At 50.6% G+C, this 20923-nt stretch overlaps 1 protein-coding gene and 1 long non-coding RNA gene across 5 annotated transcripts in view, besides 2 other annotated features; one reads left to right on the top strand and one right to left on the bottom strand.

Annotated features, from left to right (window-relative positions):
* The window catches only part of SDC3 (syndecan 3), a 40270-nt gene extending 35623 nt beyond the window's left edge, over positions 1-4647 (top strand). For all 4 annotated transcript variants that reach the window (XM_011542463.1, NM_014654.4, XM_011542464.3 and 1 more), the window contains exon 5: positions 736-4647. In XM_011542463.1, the coding sequence (XP_011540765.1) occupies positions 736-902 (167 nt within the window). In that variant the 3' untranslated portion in view covers positions 903-4647. The remainder of the gene's footprint in view (positions 1-735) is intronic.
* Positions 2706-3577: an enhancer, noted in NCBI's record as "H3K27ac-H3K4me1 hESC enhancer chr1:31343383-31344254 (GRCh37/hg19 assembly coordinates)". NCBI's record gives its function as "activates a minimal SCP1, AML or CMV promoter by ChIP-STARR-seq in naive H9 embryonic stem cells {active_cell/tissue: H9 hESC(naive)}" and the evidence as "EXISTENCE:reporter gene assay evidence [ECO:0000049][PMID:30033119]".
* On the bottom strand, positions 13859-15933 carry LOC400748 (uncharacterized). Its single transcript, NR_188385.1, has 2 exons — positions 15747-15933; positions 13859-15396 (listed from the first exon to the last, which is right to left on the bottom strand). It is a non-coding gene; the product is annotated as an uncharacterized LOC400748 (long non-coding RNA).
* Positions 17517-17811: a silencer, noted in NCBI's record as "tiled region #1173; HepG2 Repressive non-DNase unmatched - State 21:Repr, and K562 Repressive non-DNase unmatched - State 7:EnhWF". NCBI's record gives its function as "represses a minimal TATA promoter and a strong SV40 promoter by Sharpr-MPRA in HepG2 and K562 cells {active_cell/tissue: HepG2 | K562}" and the evidence as "EXISTENCE:reporter gene assay evidence [ECO:0000049][PMID:27701403]".

The raw sequence follows: 20923 nt of genomic DNA, 5'->3' as shown, positions 1-20923 counted from the left end.
CCTCCTTCCCAATATCCAACCCTGACTTCATGTCCATCTCTAGGTCTTCCCTCAGTGTCCTCTGACCCCTCTGTGGACTCTGACTTTGATCCCTGCTTTCCTGGGCCACACTGGCTGACCCCCTGGGACCTTACTTCCTAGATGCTAATCTCTGACCCATCCTTCAGCTTGACCTTCCCCAGTTTTTGACCCCAGTCCCTGTGGACCTGCCCTGGCCGCATCTAGGGAGTCTGTGGACTCCTGGTTCAAATCCTGGCTTTGCACTCAAGGCAAGGTACTTCACCTCTCCAGTCTTCCTTCTCTTCATCGGTAGAATGGGGATAGTCATTTTGCCCTTAATCAATTCTAAGAGGCACATCTGTTCACATGTTAAGTCTTCTGTAGTTGGGGTATGTCATATTTAGTTAGCAGAGCTTTTTCTTTCCTAGCAGTTATAAAATACTGGGGCATCTTATGAGTGGTGGCATTTTAAATTTGATGAAGCCCTCAGATGACCCCTCCCTCATAGGGCTGGTGTGAGGGTTCAGTGAGTTAGTGTGTTGGGCGATTAGAATGCAGCCAGTGAAGGCCTATGATGGTACCCAGTGCTGGTAGTAGTAGTATTGACTCCATCATCACTCCAACTCAGATCTGGGACTCCCAGCCCTCTCCTCACCCTGGCCCCCACCCCTGAGGACCCTTTGCCCTGGTTCTACCCTGCCTCTGGGCCTTGACCTGTGCCCTCTTCTTCCACAGCTGTGATTGTGGGCGGGGTGGTGGGCGCCCTCTTTGCTGCCTTCTTGGTCACACTGCTCATCTATCGTATGAAGAAAAAGGATGAGGGCAGCTACACGCTGGAGGAACCCAAGCAGGCGAGCGTCACATACCAGAAGCCTGACAAGCAGGAGGAGTTCTATGCCTAGTGGAGCCACAGTGCCTCCCTGCAGCCTCAACACCACCCTGCTGTCCAGTCCCCAGCCTGGCCCCACCAGCCCAAGCCTGGGACTGGGCCTGGAACCTGGCCCCAGTTCTTCTCTGCCCTCTCTCCCAAGGTCTGCCCAGGCTGCCAGCCTCACACAGATCTTCCCCGAGGAAGAGGGGCTGCTGCCATCTGCCCCAGACTGTGCCCTTACGAGCTCATCTCTTGTTCCCCTCATCCCTGCCACCAGTCTGGGGCTTCAGGACCTCATGTCAGATGGATGGGAGGAAGAAAGCTCCTGATTGGCTGGTGGTGGAAGAAAGGGTGGGGCTTGAGATGAGCCTGAGCCCTGACTTGGCACCCACAGTGCTCACTGAGATCTCCTTTTTGGGGCAGAGAGGCACTCAGGCTGGTTTCCAGGACAAACATTTGGTAAACACAGCCCTTGAAATCATCTAGACACTGCAACCTCTTGCTCGTATCCCAGGGCCTCTCTCTAGCTGGGTGAGAGGGTGTCCCTTGTCACCAGCCTGTTTTGTCCTGGTCTCTCTGGGGTTGTTGAATCTCTCCTCTTGCCTGCCAAGTACACATGTACCCAGACTTCATTTCTTTCTGCATCTTCCCCCAAGAAACAGCTTCCTGAGGGTGCTGGGGCAGCCACTGGTGAGGAGGGGCTGCTCTGATGTCCCTCCTATGAGGGGACTCTGCACAGACACCATTGCCCACACTATCACCATATTTTCACTCAGTCACACACAAGACAAAAGCATGCAATGACAAAACCATACGCAATCCTGACCGCCCAGCCAATCAAGACATATCACAGAACACACGCGTCCTTCCAAGAATGTTTATCCTCATGCATCACTTACACACCCCCAGACACGTACTGCAATGCAAGTCACTAGTCATGGTCACATGACAGTGACAGTGTGGCCTCCTCCTACCCCAAATACACCCACACTCTGGCACCACACACATTGTCTCCAGCTTTCAGGCTTACTGGGGAGGGTGGAATCGAGCCAGAACAATCAGCCCATATTGGGTCCCCCTAAGTTGCCCCGTCATACTCAGTCCCATGCCATGGTGCCCACACCAACCATGCAGCCGCCAACCCCAGCCAGTGTCAGACACAATCCCATGTGGATGCACAGTCTCACTCCACATGACCTGCTCTCAATGCTGGAGGGAAACAGGCAGGCCCTTGCCTTTCTCGGAAAAAGTGTGGGGCCACAGCCCTTTTAGGGCATTGCATGCAGGTGGGCCTGGCTTCACCCCTACCTGCTTCCTCCCCACCGCAGCTGGCAGAGGGGGAGGTTTGGGGCCAGACCCCCACTAGCTGGGAGCCTGGGGGCTCCTCTAAGGCTGAGGAAGGAAATTTGGCCCCAGGTTGTTGGGGGGTCTTGGGTCTCCCAGGACGGAAGGCCCAGGGCAGGGAGGGGGCATGTGGTTGGGCTCCTTTATCTCCCTGTGTCCCCTTCCTGCTTTGAGCTAGGGGGCTGACTCTGCCTCCCAGGACACAAGTCTCCAAAGTGCCTGTGAGGGCGGGCCCTCCGCACCCTCTGCCCTCTGCCTGGCAGGCCAACCTCAGCCCACCTGCCCAGAGGCCCTCCCTGTGGACACCCCCTCACCTATTTGGCCAAACAATTCTGGCTGCAGCTTCAGGGGCCATGGCTGGAAGCAGCCCCTGCAGATCCCTCAGGCCCCGAGGTCAGGGTTTGAGGGATGAGACCAGGTGATAGTGGGGGAGGGGTTACTTCCTTTGTTACCTAGCAAGTAGGGCTATTTCCATCGGTATTTTAAATGTGGGGTCACAGATCTTTTGGGGAGGGTGTGCTTGGCAGGGGGCCTCTTGGAGCCAAAGGGATGTGGTGTGAGTTGCGATTGGCTGGCACTCACACCCCCACCCCTCACCCACATCCCAGATTCAAGTCAGGAAGGCAGGTTTTATTTCAGGGCCCTTTTCAAGATGCCCTGGCAGCAGATTTCTGCAGGATGAGGGGTAGCGGTGTGTAGGCAGTGAGGGGGAGGTTCCAGGGGCTGTCCCACAGCCTGTCTTTTCCAGGCTGGGCTCCATCTTCCAGTCCCAAAACCCTCCTTCACAGGGCCCAGAGGCTTGTGAGGAAGCCAGGTGGACCCAGCCTTAGAAGAGTGGGCATGGGGGGCCCCTGATATCTGGAGGGGGCGGGTTGGCCTCAGTCATCTTTGGAGCAGAAGGGCTGGGTCCTGGGGCCACAGACCACAAGGCTCAGCCTCCCTACCCTGCTCCCTGGGGTGCTGCTGTCTTGGAGAGCACAGCTCTGGTGAGACGGCCTGGGCAGGCCGAGGCTGAGAAACCAGGGAGGATAGAGGAGAAAAGGGCTTGGGCCCCCAGCCCCAGAAGATGCTGGACCCCAGGTGGGAGACCCAACAGTGGGTGCAGTTTCTCAGTAGGGCTGGAGCCAATGGTGGGGGTGGCCCCGGCAGGCCTGGCTCCTCACATCCCAGGGGTTGGCTTCTGATTTGGGGCTTGGGCTCCAGGCACTGGCTTCTCTTCTCTGTGTCCTTAGCATTTGAGAGAAGAGGCCAGGGGCCTTGTTCATGGATCCCTGGACCCAAGGCAGATGTCCAGGCTTTATCCTCCTGAGGATGAGGAGTCTGACCAGCCCAAATCTGCCCTGGCCGGCCTGACCGGGGCAAGGCAGTCCAAGAGAGTTCAGTGAGGACCAGCTAGGCTCTCCCAGGTGCAATGTGGGTGCAGGGCCCTCATGTCCCCCTACCCCTGCCTGTGATGGAGTGTTCTGAGGGGCTTTGGCATTTGCTGGAAGCACAGGGAGTTCCAAATGAGAGGGAGCTTCTGTGGCTTGAGAGCCTCTGGGGCCTTGGCTGCCAGAGCACGAGGCAGGCCAGGACCTGGAGAGCCCAGACCCTGTCTCCAGGAGGCCAGGAGGCCAGATGGGGGCCTTGCCTGAAAGACTGGTCCCCTTGATCGCTGGAGGCATGTGGGTGGCAACCAGGGCTGGGCAGGGCTTAGGGTGTGTGGGCCAAACCCCCCTGGGGTTGGCAAAGCCGCCTGTCAGGCCTCCTGGTGGGGGCCCCTGGACACAGGGAGCAGACCCTCTGCCTCATGGGGTAGGAGTGGCTGCCTCCTGTGTTCTCTGGATTTCTTCTCCCAACAACTACAACCCTGGACTTGCCTCCCCAGGCCTCTTGCCTGTAAATAGAAGCCCGCAAACTGTACAGATTTACAGAGGCATCGAGACTGGGCCCTGGGAGTTGCCATCTGAGAGCCGATGGCCCCAGCATCCCCCAGGTGCCTGCCTGGCACCACAGTGACCCTGGCCTCAGCGTGGCAAATGCATGTAAATATTTTTCGTAGGCAGCGTGGCTCCAGAGAGCCCCCTGAAGACAGTGTCCCTCCCTCCTGTGAGTCCTTTCTCCTGTACAGAACCTGCCTGGGGTGGGTGGGGGTCTGCCATTCCCTCCCCCAGGCCTTCCCTGCCCCTTCTCTCCCCTGTAACCTGTTTATTAACCATACCTGTCCTGAGTTCATGGCCAAAACCTTAAATAAGAAAAACAAAAGAAAAAGACAGTGGAAAAAAGAGACCAAGGCGCCTGCCCCACTGCGGGTACTCTCCTGTTCCAGCCTTGTGAAGGAACTGGTTTTGTTTTTGTTTTTTTTTTTTTTTTTTTTTTTTTGTTTGTTTGTTTTTTTAACACTTCCTGTGCTGTGCCCATTTATAAGAGGAAATAAAATTAAGCTGAAATGATGTGCCGTGTCCAGAGTATGAGATAAATATGGTCATTTGGGGAGGGCAGCCCATGGCCGCACCCTGGGCCCCAGCCATCTTCCCCCATCAAAGAAATTGAGAACCAAGCAGGGAAAATTGACCAACAGCCCCTTGTGGGAACCATTATGGTAAAAGCTGCTGTTGGTTGAGAGTGTCCAGGAAACCACGGAGCCGCTGCGGTGAGGCTGGGATGGGGGCTGTGGTTGGGAGGGGCCAGGCAGTGGTGAGAGGGGCCTGTGGTTCACCCCCAGGGGAACTCTGGCTTTAGGCCACAGAGAAAATCTTGGTACCACAGGATACCAGAATCAGAGCAGCCGAGACGAGACGAGATGGCTTTTAAGTCTGAAGTCTGTTTTCAAGTCCAGGTGTTGACATTTCCTAGCGCTGACTCTGGACAAGCCACTTGACCTCTGTGAGTCTCAGTTTCCCCATCTGTCAAATGGGGTCAGAATATCCCCTACGTGGAATGTTGTGAGGACTGCATGAGGTAGAATGCTCAGCACGGCACCTGCCACAGTCAACACGTAGCTCACAGGGGCTCTGATGATGGCGTTGGAACAGAATAGAACCTTGGGATGGGAGAATGTGACCCAGAATCATCACAGGCCGACTCCTGACATCACAGGGTCATAGAGCTGGGCCAGCCTTGGGGCCCTCCTTGGTGTAGAAATCCCTTTTCCAGCCCCCACTTGGCATAAGTCCTGTCCCAGCCAGCTGGGTGTGTCCCGATGGCCAGTAGGCCACCCTGCCTATTTGGAAGTACTTACTAATTTCAGCTGAAATCTGTCTTTCCAGTGTTGCCCATCTCCAGTGCTCGTACGCCCTGGGGGCACACGAGATTGTTCTGCCCCTTGCAATGGGACAGCCCCCAGGTATGGGTGTAACAGTCACAAAATTCCCTCCTTCGAGGGAAAGCTCTACATGTCCTACAAATATTTCTTCTAGAAATTTCTTCTTCTTGGCCAGGCGTGGTGGCTCATGCCTGTAATCCCATCATTTTGGGTGGCCGAGGTGGGTGGATCATTTGAGGTCAGGAGTTTGAGACCAGCCTGGCCAACATGGTGAAACCTCATCTCTACTAAAAATACAAAAATTAGCTGGGCTTGGTGGTGGGTGCCTGGGTCAGGATCCCAGCTACTTGGGAGACTGAGGCAGGAGAATCACTTGAACCCCGGAGTCAGAGGTTGTGGTGAGCCCAGATTGCGTCACTGCACTCCAGTCTGGGTGACAGAGTGAGAACCTGTCTCAAGAAAAAAAAAAGAAAGAAATTTCTTCTTAATATGTGATAGGCAGGGTGCTGTTGGCCCTGGGAGTGGGTTGGAGCCCGAGGCCTATGGCTTTGGTACACCATCCTACCCATCCCTCCCTCCTTCCAATGAAGTTTCTGTGCCTGGCTCTGTGCTTGGAACTGGGAGCCGAGGGGTCCCCACAACAGCCCCGACCCCTCTCCCTAGAGCATGTACAGTCTATCCGGGAGATAGCTGATAACCAGAGTCTTGTGACTGTGTGATGACACTGGTCTGTGGTGGTGGCGGTGGTTGTGGGAGGGGGGGGGTCATTCTTTCTCAGCTGCCACCTCCAAGCCCCACCAAGATTGCCCCTCACTGCTAGGCAGTTCAGGGACAGAGCCCTGGTGCCCGGGGCCTCACTGTGGGACCTCAGACAGTTTGACTCCTTGGAGCCTCAGTCTGCACAGCTATAAAATGGGGTGAAGGGGCCAGACCTGCCACTGGGAGGTCCTCACAGGAGTGGGCCAGTTAGACACCTGCTATGATGTGAGGGGTTGGTTTACCAAGATTCAAAGCCAAGCATGAGTGGCTGTTCACTCAGGAAGCTTCAGAAGGCAATGCCCCATCTTCTGAGTGCTGTCAGCCCGCCGTCTCCCTCCTACCCTTCTCCCCTTCTCTCTTGAGTTCTAGTGATGTGATTTTATTTTCAGCTTGGAGGAGTAGAAAGAGCATGGTCTTGAAGTCAAGCAGACTCTTTGCTCTACCTCTCTGAGCCTCGATTTCCTTGAAGGCAAATGAGGACAATAAGGTTGGTATTTGGAGGCATGAAGCATGGCATACATGCCCATCTGTAGCTGGATTTCTATTCTTCTCTTTGCAGCACCTACGTTTTACCAGGCAAACCTTTATTCAAATCCTAGCTCTGTCAGTGACTAGCTATGTGACCTTGGGTGAACAATTCAAACTCAGTGCTCAGTTTCCTCACTTGTAAAATGGGGGCAATACTAGTACTGGCCTCATATGCATAGTGCTTAGAACTATGGCAGGCATAGAGTAGGTGCTGTACAAATGTGGGCAATTATTACTGCTGTTGTTGTATTGTTATTACTGTTATTCTTATTTGCAGGGCCCAGCACACTGCCTATTGATTGAACAAGTGATACTGAGCTTGGGTAGAAATCAAACTATCAGGGTCAGCTCTAGTATGAACTATGACTTAGGCTTGTTAGAGCCAAGGGCAGAGCCTGGAAACCATGTATTTGGGCACAGATAGGCTGGGCACTGCTGGAAGTTGGAGCACTTCCCTCTGGGCCCCCTCACCCAAGATATGAGCAACAGAATCAAGAGGGAAGGAGGAAGAATAGCTGATTGTTTCCTGCAGCCCAAGAGGTCACAGCCACCCAGCCCAAGCTTCCCTGAGAACAGAGTGTGCTCAGCTTCCAGGGCCGCCCACCCTGCCTCTGCCGGCCTGAGGGTGGGCTCAGAGCACGAGGATCTAGGTTTATCACCACCAGATAACCAGTAGGGATGAGAGAGGGCAGACAGCAAGAGGAATAGGGTGAGGCACTATGCCAGGTACCAGGTATCATGTTAGCTCATTTAAGCCCCAGGTCTGGTCTCTTGGCCTGTTGTTGCAAATGGAGCAACTGAGGCTCAAACAGCAGAATCCCAAAGCCCTAGAGCAATTGGAAGGTGCGGTGGGATTCTGCTGTCTCCTCCCTACCAAGAGCTAGCTGTGAGGGTGGGCAGGTTACTAAGCTTCTCTGAACCTCAGTTATATCACCAGAACAACAGGAGCACTAGGAGTTTGAAAGCCTCTAACGAAGCATTAACACACAACCTTTGTGGGATGCCTTCCAATTATCGTCGTTCATTCATAGACATTATCTTATTTAATTCTTGGAGACAATTATTACCCCCATTTTATCATAAACAATGTGTTTACAATAAACACATTGGCCTTATCAGCAAAATCCACACTGTGGGATACTCTATAGGAAAAACAATCCAGTTTTTTTTCAACACATAAATTATAAGGAAGACAAAAAAAAGAGAGAGATGGAGAATTTATAGATAAGCTTAAATGAAATGTTAACTAATCAATGTGGGAACCTGATTCAGATCCTGATTCGAACAAATTATATTTTTAAAATGCTCCAGTTATGAGGCAAGTGGAAATTGAACTCTGAGTGAATGAGTAAAAACATAAATATATATATTTTTATATATATATTTTCTCTTTTTTTGAGACAGGGTCTCATTCTGTCGCCCAGGCTGGAGTGCAGTGGTCTGATCATGGCTCACGGCAGCCTCGAGCTCCCCGGGCTCAGGTGATCCTCTTACCTCAGTCTCCCAAATAGCTGGGACTACAGGTGCTCGCCACCATATCCGACTAATTTTCATATTTTTTGTAGAGACATAGTTTTGCCATGTTGTCCAGGCTGGTCTCAAACTCCTGGGCTCAAGTGACCGAGTGAATATTTGTTATTAAGGATTCATTGTCAATGCTCTTAGATGTGATAAGGGCCCTGTAGTTATGGTTTTTTTTTTTTTTTTAAATGAATCCTTACCTTTTAGAGATACAGACTGAAATATTTGTAGATGAAGTGACAGGGTGTCTGGAATTGACTTCAAAATAATATGGGGAGGAGTGGGTGAGGGAATGGAGGAAATAAGTTGGGGCTTGAGTTGATCGTTATAGACGCTGAGTGATGGGCACATAGGGGCTTCATTATATTATTCTATCTACTCTAAGTTTACATTTTAAATTCTCCATAATAAAGTGCTTTAAAAGAAAAGAAAGCGGCCGGGTGCAGTGGCTCACGCCTGTAATCCCAGCACTTTGGGAGGCTGAGGCAGGCAGATCACGAGGTCAGGAGATCAAGACCATCCTGGCTAACACAGTGAAACCCAGTCTCTACTAAAAATACAAAAAAATTAGCCAGGCAAGGTGGCGGGCACCTGTAGTCTCTGCTACTCTGGAGGCTGAGGCAGGAGAATGGCGTGAACCTGGGAGGCAGAGGTTGCAGTGAGCTGAGGTTGTGCCACTGCACTCCAGCCTGGGCGACACAGCGAGTCTCCATCTCAAAAAAAAAAATAAAATAAAATAAAATAAAATAATAAAAAAAAGTAAAAGAAAGCAATTCCCAGAGGGGCCTGAGGTTGCACCCCCAGGAAATGCAGAGCTGGCTCCCCTGCTGCAAGTCTAGGGCCCTGGCCACTCGCCCAACCCCTGCCTGTGAACTCCCGCAATGCCCTATTTTCCTCGGCTCTACGTCATCCACTTCCAAGTGGTCAGTGCCTTCATGGACCCTGTTCCCTCCCGTTTTATGAAAACTGACTCTTATGAATGGCTCTGTTGAAATAATTTGCATGAAATTGTCATGACTGACGCGTGGCTTTAGCTATTTCCCTCCTCCAGAGGTGTTTGTCCATTGCCAGAGAAAGTAGCAAAAGCAGCCCTTCCCAAGTGAGCCATGTGTTTCAGCTCATGAAGCACTGTTCAGGAAGTCCTTGGTCTTGCTTGCCATTCACATCAGTCCTGGGAGATGGGCTGGCTGGGGATTACTCCTCCCACCTTGGAGGACATTAGGTTTGTTCATCACCATCCCCTACCCTCACTGCCCACCCCTGCCCATTTTCAAGGCTCTGGCCAAGTCTAGACCTTTATCTTGTCTTGCTGGAAATATTGAAATAGTCTTACCGGCATGCTGTAAGGAAAGGGCATGGGTTTGGGGGCATACAGGTGTCATTCACAGTTAGCCACAGCTAGTTCTTCTTAGGTCATCCTGGGGAAGCCCCTTCACCTCCTCCCCACCCCCCAAGCCTTGGCTTCCTCTTCTGTGTCATTTGCACAGTGATGATCGCTGCAGAGATTTGTGAGGACCCAAAAAGTGGGCAGACCTAAGTGTCCAGCACAATGACACACAGCAGGTGCACAGCACTAAAAATGAAGATACCAAAGATACTGCAGTACAGACATGCGTCACCTAATGACGGGGATGTGTTCTGAGGAACATGTTGTTAGACGATTTCACCTCGTGAACATCATAGAGTGTCCTTACACAAACCAAGGTGGGACAGCCTGCTGCACACCCAGGCTATACGGTACAGCCCATTGCTCCTAGGTTACAAAGCTGCACAGCATGCTACTCTACTGAACACTGTGGCAACTGTAACACAATGGCAAGTATTTATGTATCTAAACATATCCAAACCTAGAAAAAATGCAAGAGGCTGGGCGCAGGGGCTCATGCCTATAATCCCAGCACTTTGGGAGGCTGAGGTGGGAGAATTGCTTGAGACCAGGAGTTTGAGACCAGCCTGGGCAATATAGTGAGCCTCTCTATATATAAAAATAAAATAAAGAAAAATTAGCTGTGTGTGGTGGTATATTTCTGTAGTCCCAGCAACTCAGGAGGCTGAGGCAGGAAAATTACTTTTGAGCCTAGGAGGTTGAGGCTGCAGTGAGCCATGATTACACCACTGCACTCCAGCCTGGGTGACAAAGTGGGACCCTGTCTCTAAAAATAAATAAATAAAAGGAACAATAAAATATTCTATAAAAGATTAAAAAATGATGCATGTGTATATGGCATTTGCCATGGTTGGAGCTAGCAGGACTGTCAGTGCACACTGCATACATTACATTTATACAATGTTTTTCTTCAATAATAATTAGCTTACTATAACTTTTTCAAAGTTTTATAAACTTTTTAATTTTTAAAAACTTTTTAGGCCAGGTGCAGTGGCTCACACCTGTAATCCCAGCACTTTGGGAGGCTGAGGCGGGTGGATCCTGAGGTCAGGAGATTGAGACCATCCTGGCTAACACTGTGAAACCCCGTCTCTACTAAAAATACAAAAATTGGCCGGGTGCAGTGGCTCACACCGGTAATCCCAGCACTTTTGGAGGCCGAGGTGGGCGGATCACGAGGTCAGGAGATTGAGACCATACTGGCTAACACGGTGAAACCCTGTCTCTACTAAAAATACAAAAAATTAGCCAGGCATGGTGGCAGGTGCCTGTAGTCCCAGCTACTCGGGAGGCTGAGGCAGGAGAATGGCGTGAACCCGGGAGGCAGAGCTTGCAGTGAGCCGAGATCGTGCCACTGCACTCCAACCTGGGCGACAGAGTGAGACTCTCTCTCAAAAAAAAAACAACAAAGAACAAAACAAAACAAAAACCCAAACTACCTTTTTGACTCATGTAATAACACGTAGCTTAAAGCACATTGCAGGCCGGGTGTGTTGCCTCGGGCCTGTAATCCCAGTACTGTGGGAGGCCGAGATGGGCAGATCACCTGAGGTCAGGAGTTCGAGACCAGCCTGAGCAACATGGCTACTACTCTACTCTACCATCTCTACTAAAAATACAAAAATTAGCCAGGCGTGTTGGTGCGCACCTGTATTATTGAAGTAAAACATTGAGGCAAGAGAATCGCTGGAACCCGGGACGTGGAGGTTGCAGTGAGCCAAGATCGTACCACTGCAATCCAGCCTGGGCGACAGAGTGAGAATCCATCTCAAAAAAAAAAAAAAATTGCATAGCTCTACAAAACATTTTATGTCCTTATTCTAGCTATTTTTTAATTTGTATTTTTGCTTTTTAAACTTCTTTTGTTACAAACTAAGACACAACCACGCACATTAGCCTAGGCCTCCACGGTGTCAGGTTCGTCAGTATCACTGTCTTCTACCTCCAGATCTTGTCCCACTGGAAGGTCTTCAGGGGCAATAGCATGCACGGAGCTGTCATCTCCTGTGGTAACAGTGCCTTCTTCTGGATACCTCCTGAAGAACCTGCCTGAGGCTGTCTTACGGTTAACTTTTTTAATAAGTAGAAGGAGTACACTCTGAAATAGTGATAAAAAGTATAATATAGTAAATAAGCCAGTAACATAGTCATTTATTATCATTATCAAGTATTATGTGCTGTACATAATCATATGTACTAGACTTTTTTTTTTTTTTTTTGGGACGGAGTCTCACTCAATTGCCCAGGCTGGAGTGCAGTGGCATGATCTCAGCTCACTGCAACCTTCGCCTCCTGGGTTCAAGCAATTCTTCTGCCTCAGCCTCTCAAGTAGCTGGGATTACAGGCACACGCCACCACACCTGGCTAATTTTGTATTTTTAGTAGAGATGGGGTTTCACCATGTTGGCCAGGCTGGTCTTGAACTCCTGGCCTCAAATGATCTGCCCTCCTCGGCCTCCCAAAGTGCTGGGATTACAGGCATGAGCCACCACACCCAGCCCTGTGCTAGACTTTTATACAATGGTCTGTGCAGTAGGTTTGTTCACACCAGTGTATGCTGTTACCAGGTGGCAGGAGTTTTTCAGCTCCCTTATAATCTTATGAGATCACCTCTGTATATGTGATCTGTGGTTGACTGAAACATTGTTATGTGGAGCATGACTGTAATAATAACAGCAGAAGACACATGTGTTGGACTTACCGTGTGCCAGGCATGCTCTAAGCACTTTTTAATAGTGTGAGGCCTTTAGAACAGTGCCTGGCATGTGGTAAGCACTACAGGAGTGTTTATTAAATAAAATTATTGTACATGTAGTAGCTTATTTAATCTTTACTAAAACCCTGAGAAGCAGTAGGTACTCATTACTCTCATGTTTACAGATGAGGAAACTGAAGCATGGAGACTCCCAGAATGCCGAGAATGTAGGGAGACAACTGTACAGTCAACCTTGACCTCTCCTCCACTTTCTCCTGGCAAATTCCTACGGATCCTTCAAACCCCTACTCCAACATCACCTGCTCTGGGAGCTCCCAGTCATTGGCCAGGATGAACTCTTAGACCTGGACAACAGGAAGAAGAAGGGAAAGAAGGGGGTGAGGGAGGCTGGCAGGGTGGGAAACGCAGGGGTGAGAGAATAGAGAAGGATGCAGGCCTTCCGGAGAAACCCTGAGTTGGATCATGGGAAGTGCATGACGGGAAGTCCTTGGTCCTTCTTCCCAGCAGAGGTGCCTCTGTCTTGTGGCTTGTCCTGCAAAGTCCAGCTGAGCCTCCAGCTTCCTTGAGGTTGGCTCTGTGGCATGCAAGTGAAGAGCTCCACTCCGGAGCCAAATTGCCCTGGTTTGACTCCTGACTCTTCTGCTTACTGGCTAGGTGATCCCAGGCAAGTTTTTTGACCCCTTTTACCTGGCTGCTTCTGGAAATAGAATGGGGATAATCATAGTACCCACCTCATAGAATTGCCATGAGGTTTCATCATTAATTCAAGGTACATAGAAAGTACTCAGTAAATACTGACCTGGATGATCGAAGTCATCTTGGATTATTGGTGAAGGTGCCGTCTCTTTTCTCTGAATTCCTGTTGTGCTTAAGCCTAAACCGCACAATTCAACCCAACACAAGTGACCGTAACAATGACCTTTTATGAGGTATTTACTAGCGGGCAGGCTGTATGCCTGGTCCTTTTTACGCAGTGTCATAGAGATCACCGTAACTCCATGAGGCACATACTAGTAATATGTGCATTTTACAGGTGAGAAAATAGAGGCCCCTTTGAAAGGTTAAAACTGTGTATAAACTTATAGAGCCAGTACGTGGCAGAATGAGGATTTGAATCCAGGCAATCTGACCCCGGAGCCCATGTGATTCTTTCTAGTTTGTTAGTCTCCCAATACTGATGGATACCTACGGTATGCCAGACACCATGCTAGGTGCCAGGGAAATAAAAGACACACAGTCCTGGCCCTCAGGGAACTCACAGCCTGGCATGGGGAACACAGATGTGGAGTCAGATACCTGAGAACATTGATAACGTTGAAGGGGGAGGGCTGGATCTGATGTCTGCATTGATCTGCTAGAGGCTATGTTTTATTTAATCATATTCTAACAATTATTGGGCATATGGTCGACACAATAAATAATGCTCTCTCTTCTCAAAGATAAGACAGACAGGCTTCTAGAGTTAAAAAGTAGCATACAAAGCACAGCTTTGACATTATTTTTAGGCTTCCAGAAAATCTGAAGTTGTCAAATACAACTATTACTGACATAGTGATTAATGAGTTACAGTTCTTAGAAAGCCCCTCCACTTCTGGCAACCACCACGCCTTTCCTAAGAGGCCTAGACAAATATAGCTAACTTCTGTTTGACATGAGGGATGCATGGTAATTCAGAATTCAATATGCCAAGTGACATAGAGACAGGTACAAGGCCTCTTGGCATGCAGAGGAGGGAACAACTAACTTTGCGGCTTCCTGGAGGAGGAAATATTTGGTTTGAGTTTTGAAGTCTATGTGGGAGTTCTCTGTGAAAAAGAAGAAGGGCAAATACTCTCTAGATTAGGGGACAAAAATGAGAAAAGCGCCCTTGCATGTCTGGGGAATGAAGGAAGTCAAGTAGGGCTGGAGTATTGGGCTCATGAGGGTGGGGATGGTGGTGAGGGCAGGAGGGTGGCTGGGCCTGCTGGGTCAGAAAGGGCCTTGACTAACATGCTTAATGGTTTGGAGTTTATCATCTTATAAGCAATTGATGTGCATGTATGTGTGTGTGTATGAGTGTGTGTGTGTGTGTGTGTGTGTGTGTGTGTGTGTGTCCCATGGAGCTTTTGAGAGAGAGATATGGGGCCAGGAGCGGTGGCTCATGCCTGTAATCCCAGCAGTTTGGGAGGCCGAAGCGGTGGATCACCTGCAGTCACGAGTTTGAGATCAGCCGGGCCAACAAGGTGAAACCCTGTTTCTACCAAAAAATACAAAAATTAGCTGGGCGTGGTGGCGTGTACATATAATCCCAGCTACTTGGGGGGAAGGCTGAGGTAGGAGAATCACTTGAACCCAGGAGACGGAGGTTGCAGTGAGCCGAGATCATGCCACTGCACTCCAGCCTGGGTGATGTATTAAGACTCCATCTCAAGAGAAAAAAAGGGGGGAGAGATATGGTCAAATTTGTGGTTTGTACAAATGGCTGTGGCAGTCTGCAGGGAGGTAGGTGGGAGGTTGGTGGCAGGGCTATCTGTTCCCCAGCCAGGCTGTTAAGGCCCCTGGGGGCAGTGACATGTCTTTTCCTCTGGAATTTTCCATAACACCCAGCAGGGGTGGGGCATGCAGCTGGTGCTCAACAAATGCCTGCTGTATGAAACACATGCATGCCCCTGAGTCAGTGGATTTCACAGCCTTCAGAGCCTGCCCTCTCCCAGCACTGTCCATGGTACTAACACACACCATTGCAAGCCCAGTGGGCTCCCTGGTGGCGGCCTAAGAGTGTGTGTGTGTGTGTGTGTGTGTGTGTGTGTGTGTGTGTGAAGTTGGGTGGGGAAGGAGACCCTCAGTGCCTGTGTCTTGCGATCAAGGCAGGGTCTCAGCTGTTCCAGTCTCAGAAGGGCTGCCCACGTGACCATGTGTCTGGAGGGCAGATCCCCACTTCATCTGGCCAAGCTTTAGCGCATGGATTTGAGGCAGAAATTGAAGCCAGACACAAAGAATGGGGCCTGAGTTGGGAAGTTTTGCATACCACACTTCTGAGTCTGCATCTGTAGAAAGAGCGTGACAAGTCCACATTTGTGTTCCAGGAAGATCACTCTGGTGGTAGCAGGGAGGACAGACAGGAAAGGAGAGACGGGAGTCTCTGAGCCCCATGTGAGCCCCCAAAACCACCCAACAGGACTTTGGAGAAAGAGGAAATGGGGTGGGGGTGGGGTAGAATAACTGGGCAGGCCTTGTTGGAGGAAGTAGGACTTGAGGGGGCTCTTGAAGGATTTGTAGAGGGAGAGGGGAATGCCAGGCAGGGTGAACAGCATGGGCAAAGGTAGAGAGGTGGGAACCATTGGTAGCTAAGAAAGAGTGGGGACACTCTTCCCTTTCTGTGACCTGTCCTTCCCACCTCCTCTCTGTGGACCTTTTGAGCAGGGAGGGGGCCTGCTCTGAGACTGAGCTCAGCTGCATCTCTGGGTGTCTCTTGCTGAGGGAGGGGGCAGGCTGGGTGCAGCTTCGAAAGGTCCTTCCATTGTGTGTGAGGCCCAGCCAGGACAGCAGAGGCGGGTGCACAGAGCCCTTTGTCCGCCGAGTCACCCACCAAGCGCTCTGGCGGTCTCCACAGTCCTCACTGACCTTACACTCAAGGCCGTGCCATAGAGACAGGTTGTTCTGCCTTGGCTGGCTCTGATATCATAGCTGAGGGAGGGGACAGGGGCAGGGGGTGGACAGTGGTGGCCTTTAAGGCTGTCCAAGGGCTGACAAATTGCCTCTTGCCCTTGAGGTGCAACGAATCACCATTTCATTAAATTCTTTAACACCATGATCTATAAAATGATGGAAACTTCCAGTACCTGAGAATCCCAGAATAATGGAATCTTTCTAAGATCGTGGAATCTTTCATAACAGACTCTGTGGGAATCAGAATTCTATTCTATAGAATAACAGAATCTTAAAAAACCACAGACTCTTTTAATATCTTCCTTCTGGGGTTGTGGTGAGAACAAAATGAAATACTACATGGAAGGTGGGTGCAGTGGCTCACGCCTGTAATCTCAGCACTTTGGGAGGCCAAGGTGGTTGGATCCTGAGGTCAAGAGATCGAGACCATAGTGGCCAAAATGGTGAAACCCTGTCTCTACTAAAAATACAAAAAATTAGCTGGGCATGGTGGCGCCCACCTGTACTCTGAGCTACTAGGGAGGCTGAGGCAGGAGAAGCGCTTGAACCCGGGAGGCGGAGGTTGCAGTGAGCCGAGATTGCGCCACTGCACTCCAGCCTGGTGACAGAGTGAGACTCTGTCTCAAAAAGATGAAAAAAAGAGAGATACTATGTGGAATGTACATAGAATAGGCCTGGAACATTGTAAATGCTCCCTAAGTGTCAGCTTTTTTCCCCATTTTGAGGAAAACCAGGCCCAGAGAGGTGATGTGACTTGTCCAGGGACATGCAGCTAGGAGGTGGTGGCACAGAACATCAGTGGCCTGGAGGGAGCCCCAGGTGGCCTGAGGGCCTCTGACACTGAGTCCCCCATGGCCAAGCCAGCTGGTCTGTGTCTTAATTAAGGTCTCCAAGGTGGGGGTAAGGGTGGGAGGATGAGAGGTGGGGGTGAGGGTGGGAGGCAAGAAGAGGGGGCCAGGGCTCCACCAATCCCTGTGTAACCTCTCTGGGGCTCAGTTTCTCCCATTTTAAAAGGGAAATAGTATTTCCCTTCCTACTTCCACCACTGGGGAGTGGTAAGGCCGCCACTCTGGTCAGGCCTCCCTGACTGTGTGTTCCTGGGTAAAGGACATCATTTCTCTGGGCCCACATCTTCACTGGTGCAATGGGGAGAATAAGGACGGAATCACCATGAGGATTGACTTGAGGAACTAATATCTTTTGAGACAGTGTTAAACATTCGGATCCTAGCTCTGTGGCTCCACGGGTCGGTGATTTGGGGTAAGTCTCATAACCTTCGGGTACTTCAGTTTCCGAAGCTGCAAAATGGAAACAACAGGAATGCTCATTTAGATGAGATGGGTTAATACAAGTGGAGCGAGCACTTAGAACTGTTCCTGGCAAGTGGAAGTGTTTAGCAGGCATCCACGATCATTGTTATCACATAAGGCTTAGTCATTGTGAGCAATTATAATTAATGGTCAGTGAAGAGCTTGCAAAGTGCTGCACAATTGTGTGTGTGAGCACCTGTGTGTGCATGTGAGTGTGTGTGTGTGCTCGAGTGTGTACGATGGTGCTTATTAAAAACAGAGCCTGCGGCCCAGAGTTGAGCTGTGTGCCTGGAATAGCTGCTTCTCCTGGCGGCCTCCCCAGGGACTGGAGTGTAATGAGTGTTTGCAGAGCCCCCCGCCAGGCAGAGATGAGAGGCACCGAGGAGCCAGCGCTGGAGCCAGGCGGCGGCTGGGAGCCCAGTGTTATTATATTAATGAGAACCAGGGTGATGATTACTATTAACGAGATTAGTCACCAGGGGGCCTCCCCACTTCACCAGGCTCGTGCCTATGGCAGGCGAGGCAGGCAGGCATTCTCTACACCCACCACTCTTCTCTCTGTCTCAGGGGAAGGGTTGAGGATTCCCTGGTGCCAGGCACAGTGCCAATCCCCTTACAGCCTTGTCTCACTGCATCTTTCCAAGCCCCTGGGGTTAAATATTGGTGGTCCCACTTTACAGGTGAGAAAACTGAGGCTCAGCAAGGGCTCTGTCTGACCTGGGAGCACAGATATTTTTATTGCCCCTTCATGTGATCTGCAAACATTGACAGTGAACCAAGCCCTGGCACTTTACATGGGTTAATCTTTTAGTCTTCACGACAATGCCATGAGGAAGGTGCTCTTGTTAACTCCCTCTGCATGAGGAAACGGAGGCACACAGCAGTTAAGTAACTTGCCATCTGCATCACAATGTCTCCCACTTTCCAGCAAGCCCCTCTCTCTCCAGCAGTCAAGGTGAAAGTGTGGCTCCCAACCCTTGGTTATTCTCTATATAGCCAACCGTACCCACGGCTCTGTGATCAGATGCTTGTGGGCAGTTTTTCTGCTTGTCTCTTGTCCCCACAGGTCCCTCAGCCAGGCCACCTCTGGGCACAGACTCCTAGTGCCACCCGCCAGGCAGAGCTGAGGCTGCCACCTACACATTTATGCCACAAACATTATCCTGGCCCTTCTTGGGGCCAAATGTCAATCCTTTTAGATGCACTCTAAGAAGTTGGGTTCTCATTTAACTTTTAGTGGACAGCTACTCTGTCCAGCACTGTGCCAGGCTGGGGACACAACAGTGGGAGAGACAGACCTGACCCTGTCCTCATGGAGCTCCTAGTCTCATGGACAAACTAGTACATGGCATATACTTAGTGTCAGTTTTTCTGAGTGCTTCAGTGGAAGGACGGTGGTCTGTGGACTGTGCAGGAGGGAAGAGTGCGGTTGGAGTGAGGGAGGAGTGAGGCAAGGAAGCCCTCTCTCAGAAGGTGAATTTAAGATGAGATGTAAGGGTTGAGCAGGAGCTAGACAGTCACCAAAGGGAAGAGCATTTCCGGCAGAAGTACCTGCCTATGAGGAGATAAGACCCCCAGGGAAGTCCTGCCTGTCTAATCAGTGCACCATCAATGCTCAGGTGTCTCCTTGGGCCAACAATCATTCACTCAATCAATCATCACTTCTCAGTTAATATTTTCTCATTCAAATAGTTCATTTACTCACTCATTTTTTCATTCATTCATTCTGTATTTCCAAATGCCCATCCATTTCAGTCTTGGTGTTGGTCAGGGGGACTCAGAATTGAATCAGTTGCAGTCTCTGTCCTGACGTTGTTTCCAATCTAGGGGGGGAGATGAATCCTTCCTTACACATGACACCATGTCATCAATGAACATGAAGACTCTTCCTCCAGGCTGGGGAGGTGGTAGTCAAGAAAGGCTTCCCAGAATAGGGGCCATTTGAGCTGAGTCTTTTTTTTTTTGAGACAGAGTCTCGTTCTGTCGCCCAGGCTGAAGTGCAGTGGTGTGATCTCGGCTCACTACAGCCTCCGCCTCCAAGGTTCAAGCGATTCTTGTGCCTCAGCCTCCTGAGTAGCTGGGATTACAAGCACGCACACCACGCCCAGCTAATTTTTGTATTTTTAGTAGAGATGGGGTTTCATCATGTTGGCCAGGCTGGTCTCGAACTCCTGACCTCAAGTGATCAACCCGCCTCAGTCTCCCAAAGTGCTGGGATTACAGGTGTGAGCCACCTTGCCCGGCCTGAGCTGAGTCTTTACAAATGAACAGGCACTCAGGAGGTAGAAAGAGGGAGGTGGGCAGTGGTGCACAGCATGTGCAAAGATATGAAGAACCCCAAATGCCAGGATGTGGCAGAGACTGCTGGCTTTGCAATGATATCTGTTTTTCCTTTCATATCCATAACACATGGAAGCTTGGAAGAAAGACTACGTTTCCCAGCGTGCTTTGCAGCCAGGTGGGGCCATGTGACTAACGTGGCCAATAGGATGCGAGCAGAAGTGTAGGCTGTTTCCCTTTGATAGTGGTGTGCCTGCCCCGTCCCTTTTCCCCTACCATTGGCGGAAGGTGCAGGTGGTCCCATCTTGAACATGTGAATGAGGGCAACACGGAATGACAACAGCTTAACAAGACAGAAGGAACTTGGGTCCCCTATGCCAAGGAGCACCAGCCTTTAATGGTTGATATGTAAATTATTATATGAGGGATAAAGAAACTTCTCTCTTCTTTAAGCCAGAGTTATTTTGGGTCTCTGCTTTAGAAGCTCAACCTATATCCTAGCTAATAACCAGACTAAAGGCTATTATCTCCTAGGGCACAGGGAGCTGTCAGAGTTCTGTGGGGAGGGCAGTGACATTGTCAGATTTGCGTTTTTGGAAGCTCTCTCTGGCCACAGAATGCACGATGGGTTGGAGGGGAGAGAGACTGGAGGCCGAGAGACTAGAGAAGGGGTTGATGCTTTCAAATGGGGCAGAGGTACCCAAGCCTGACCCAGGGCAGGCCAGCTCTATTGGTGCCTGCTAACAGAGAGAAGGCTAGGTTCTCTACCCAGGCCTGAAGCCAAGCCTTGTGGGCTGCCTGCAGCCACTCTCTCTTCCCATTACTTCCAGAGCTTCCAGCCTTGAATACAACCCAGAGGCCCCTCTTGTGAAATCTGACCTTCAGCTGCCAGTAGAGCCCAGGACAGCCCCTTCTGGGGAGGGTTGGTCATGCAGGACTGAAGGCGGAAGGCAGGGGCTCTGGAGGATGGATTTGGGGAGGAGGGAGAGGTAGGTGGAACAGAGCCTATGGTGGGGAGGGGGCTGTGTAGGCGATGGTGATGGGGCAAGGACAGATGGGAGAAATAATGAAGAAGGGGACTGTGCTAGTCAGGTCTCTTCTAGTTTCGGTACCAGAAACCCAACCAGAATACATGAAAAATGGGCTGCACCGGCTTCACCCCTGGCAGGCATGGGATGGTATCGGCTCAGGAGCACCTGGATCAGCTGGGACTCTTACCCTCTCTACTCTGTTGGTTTCCTTCTCTTCTGTTCTTGAACTCCTGGGCACACATGATCCTCTGGCCTCAGCCTTTAGAGTAGCTGGGACCACAGGC

The sequence above is a fragment of the Homo sapiens genome, chromosome 1, assembly GCF_000001405.40.
Source record: "Homo sapiens chromosome 1, GRCh38.p14 Primary Assembly".
Lineage (NCBI taxonomy): Eukaryota > Metazoa > Chordata > Mammalia > Primates > Hominidae > Homo > Homo sapiens.
Note: the sequence above shows the minus strand (reverse complement) of the source record. Positions and strands in the feature narration are given on the sequence as shown.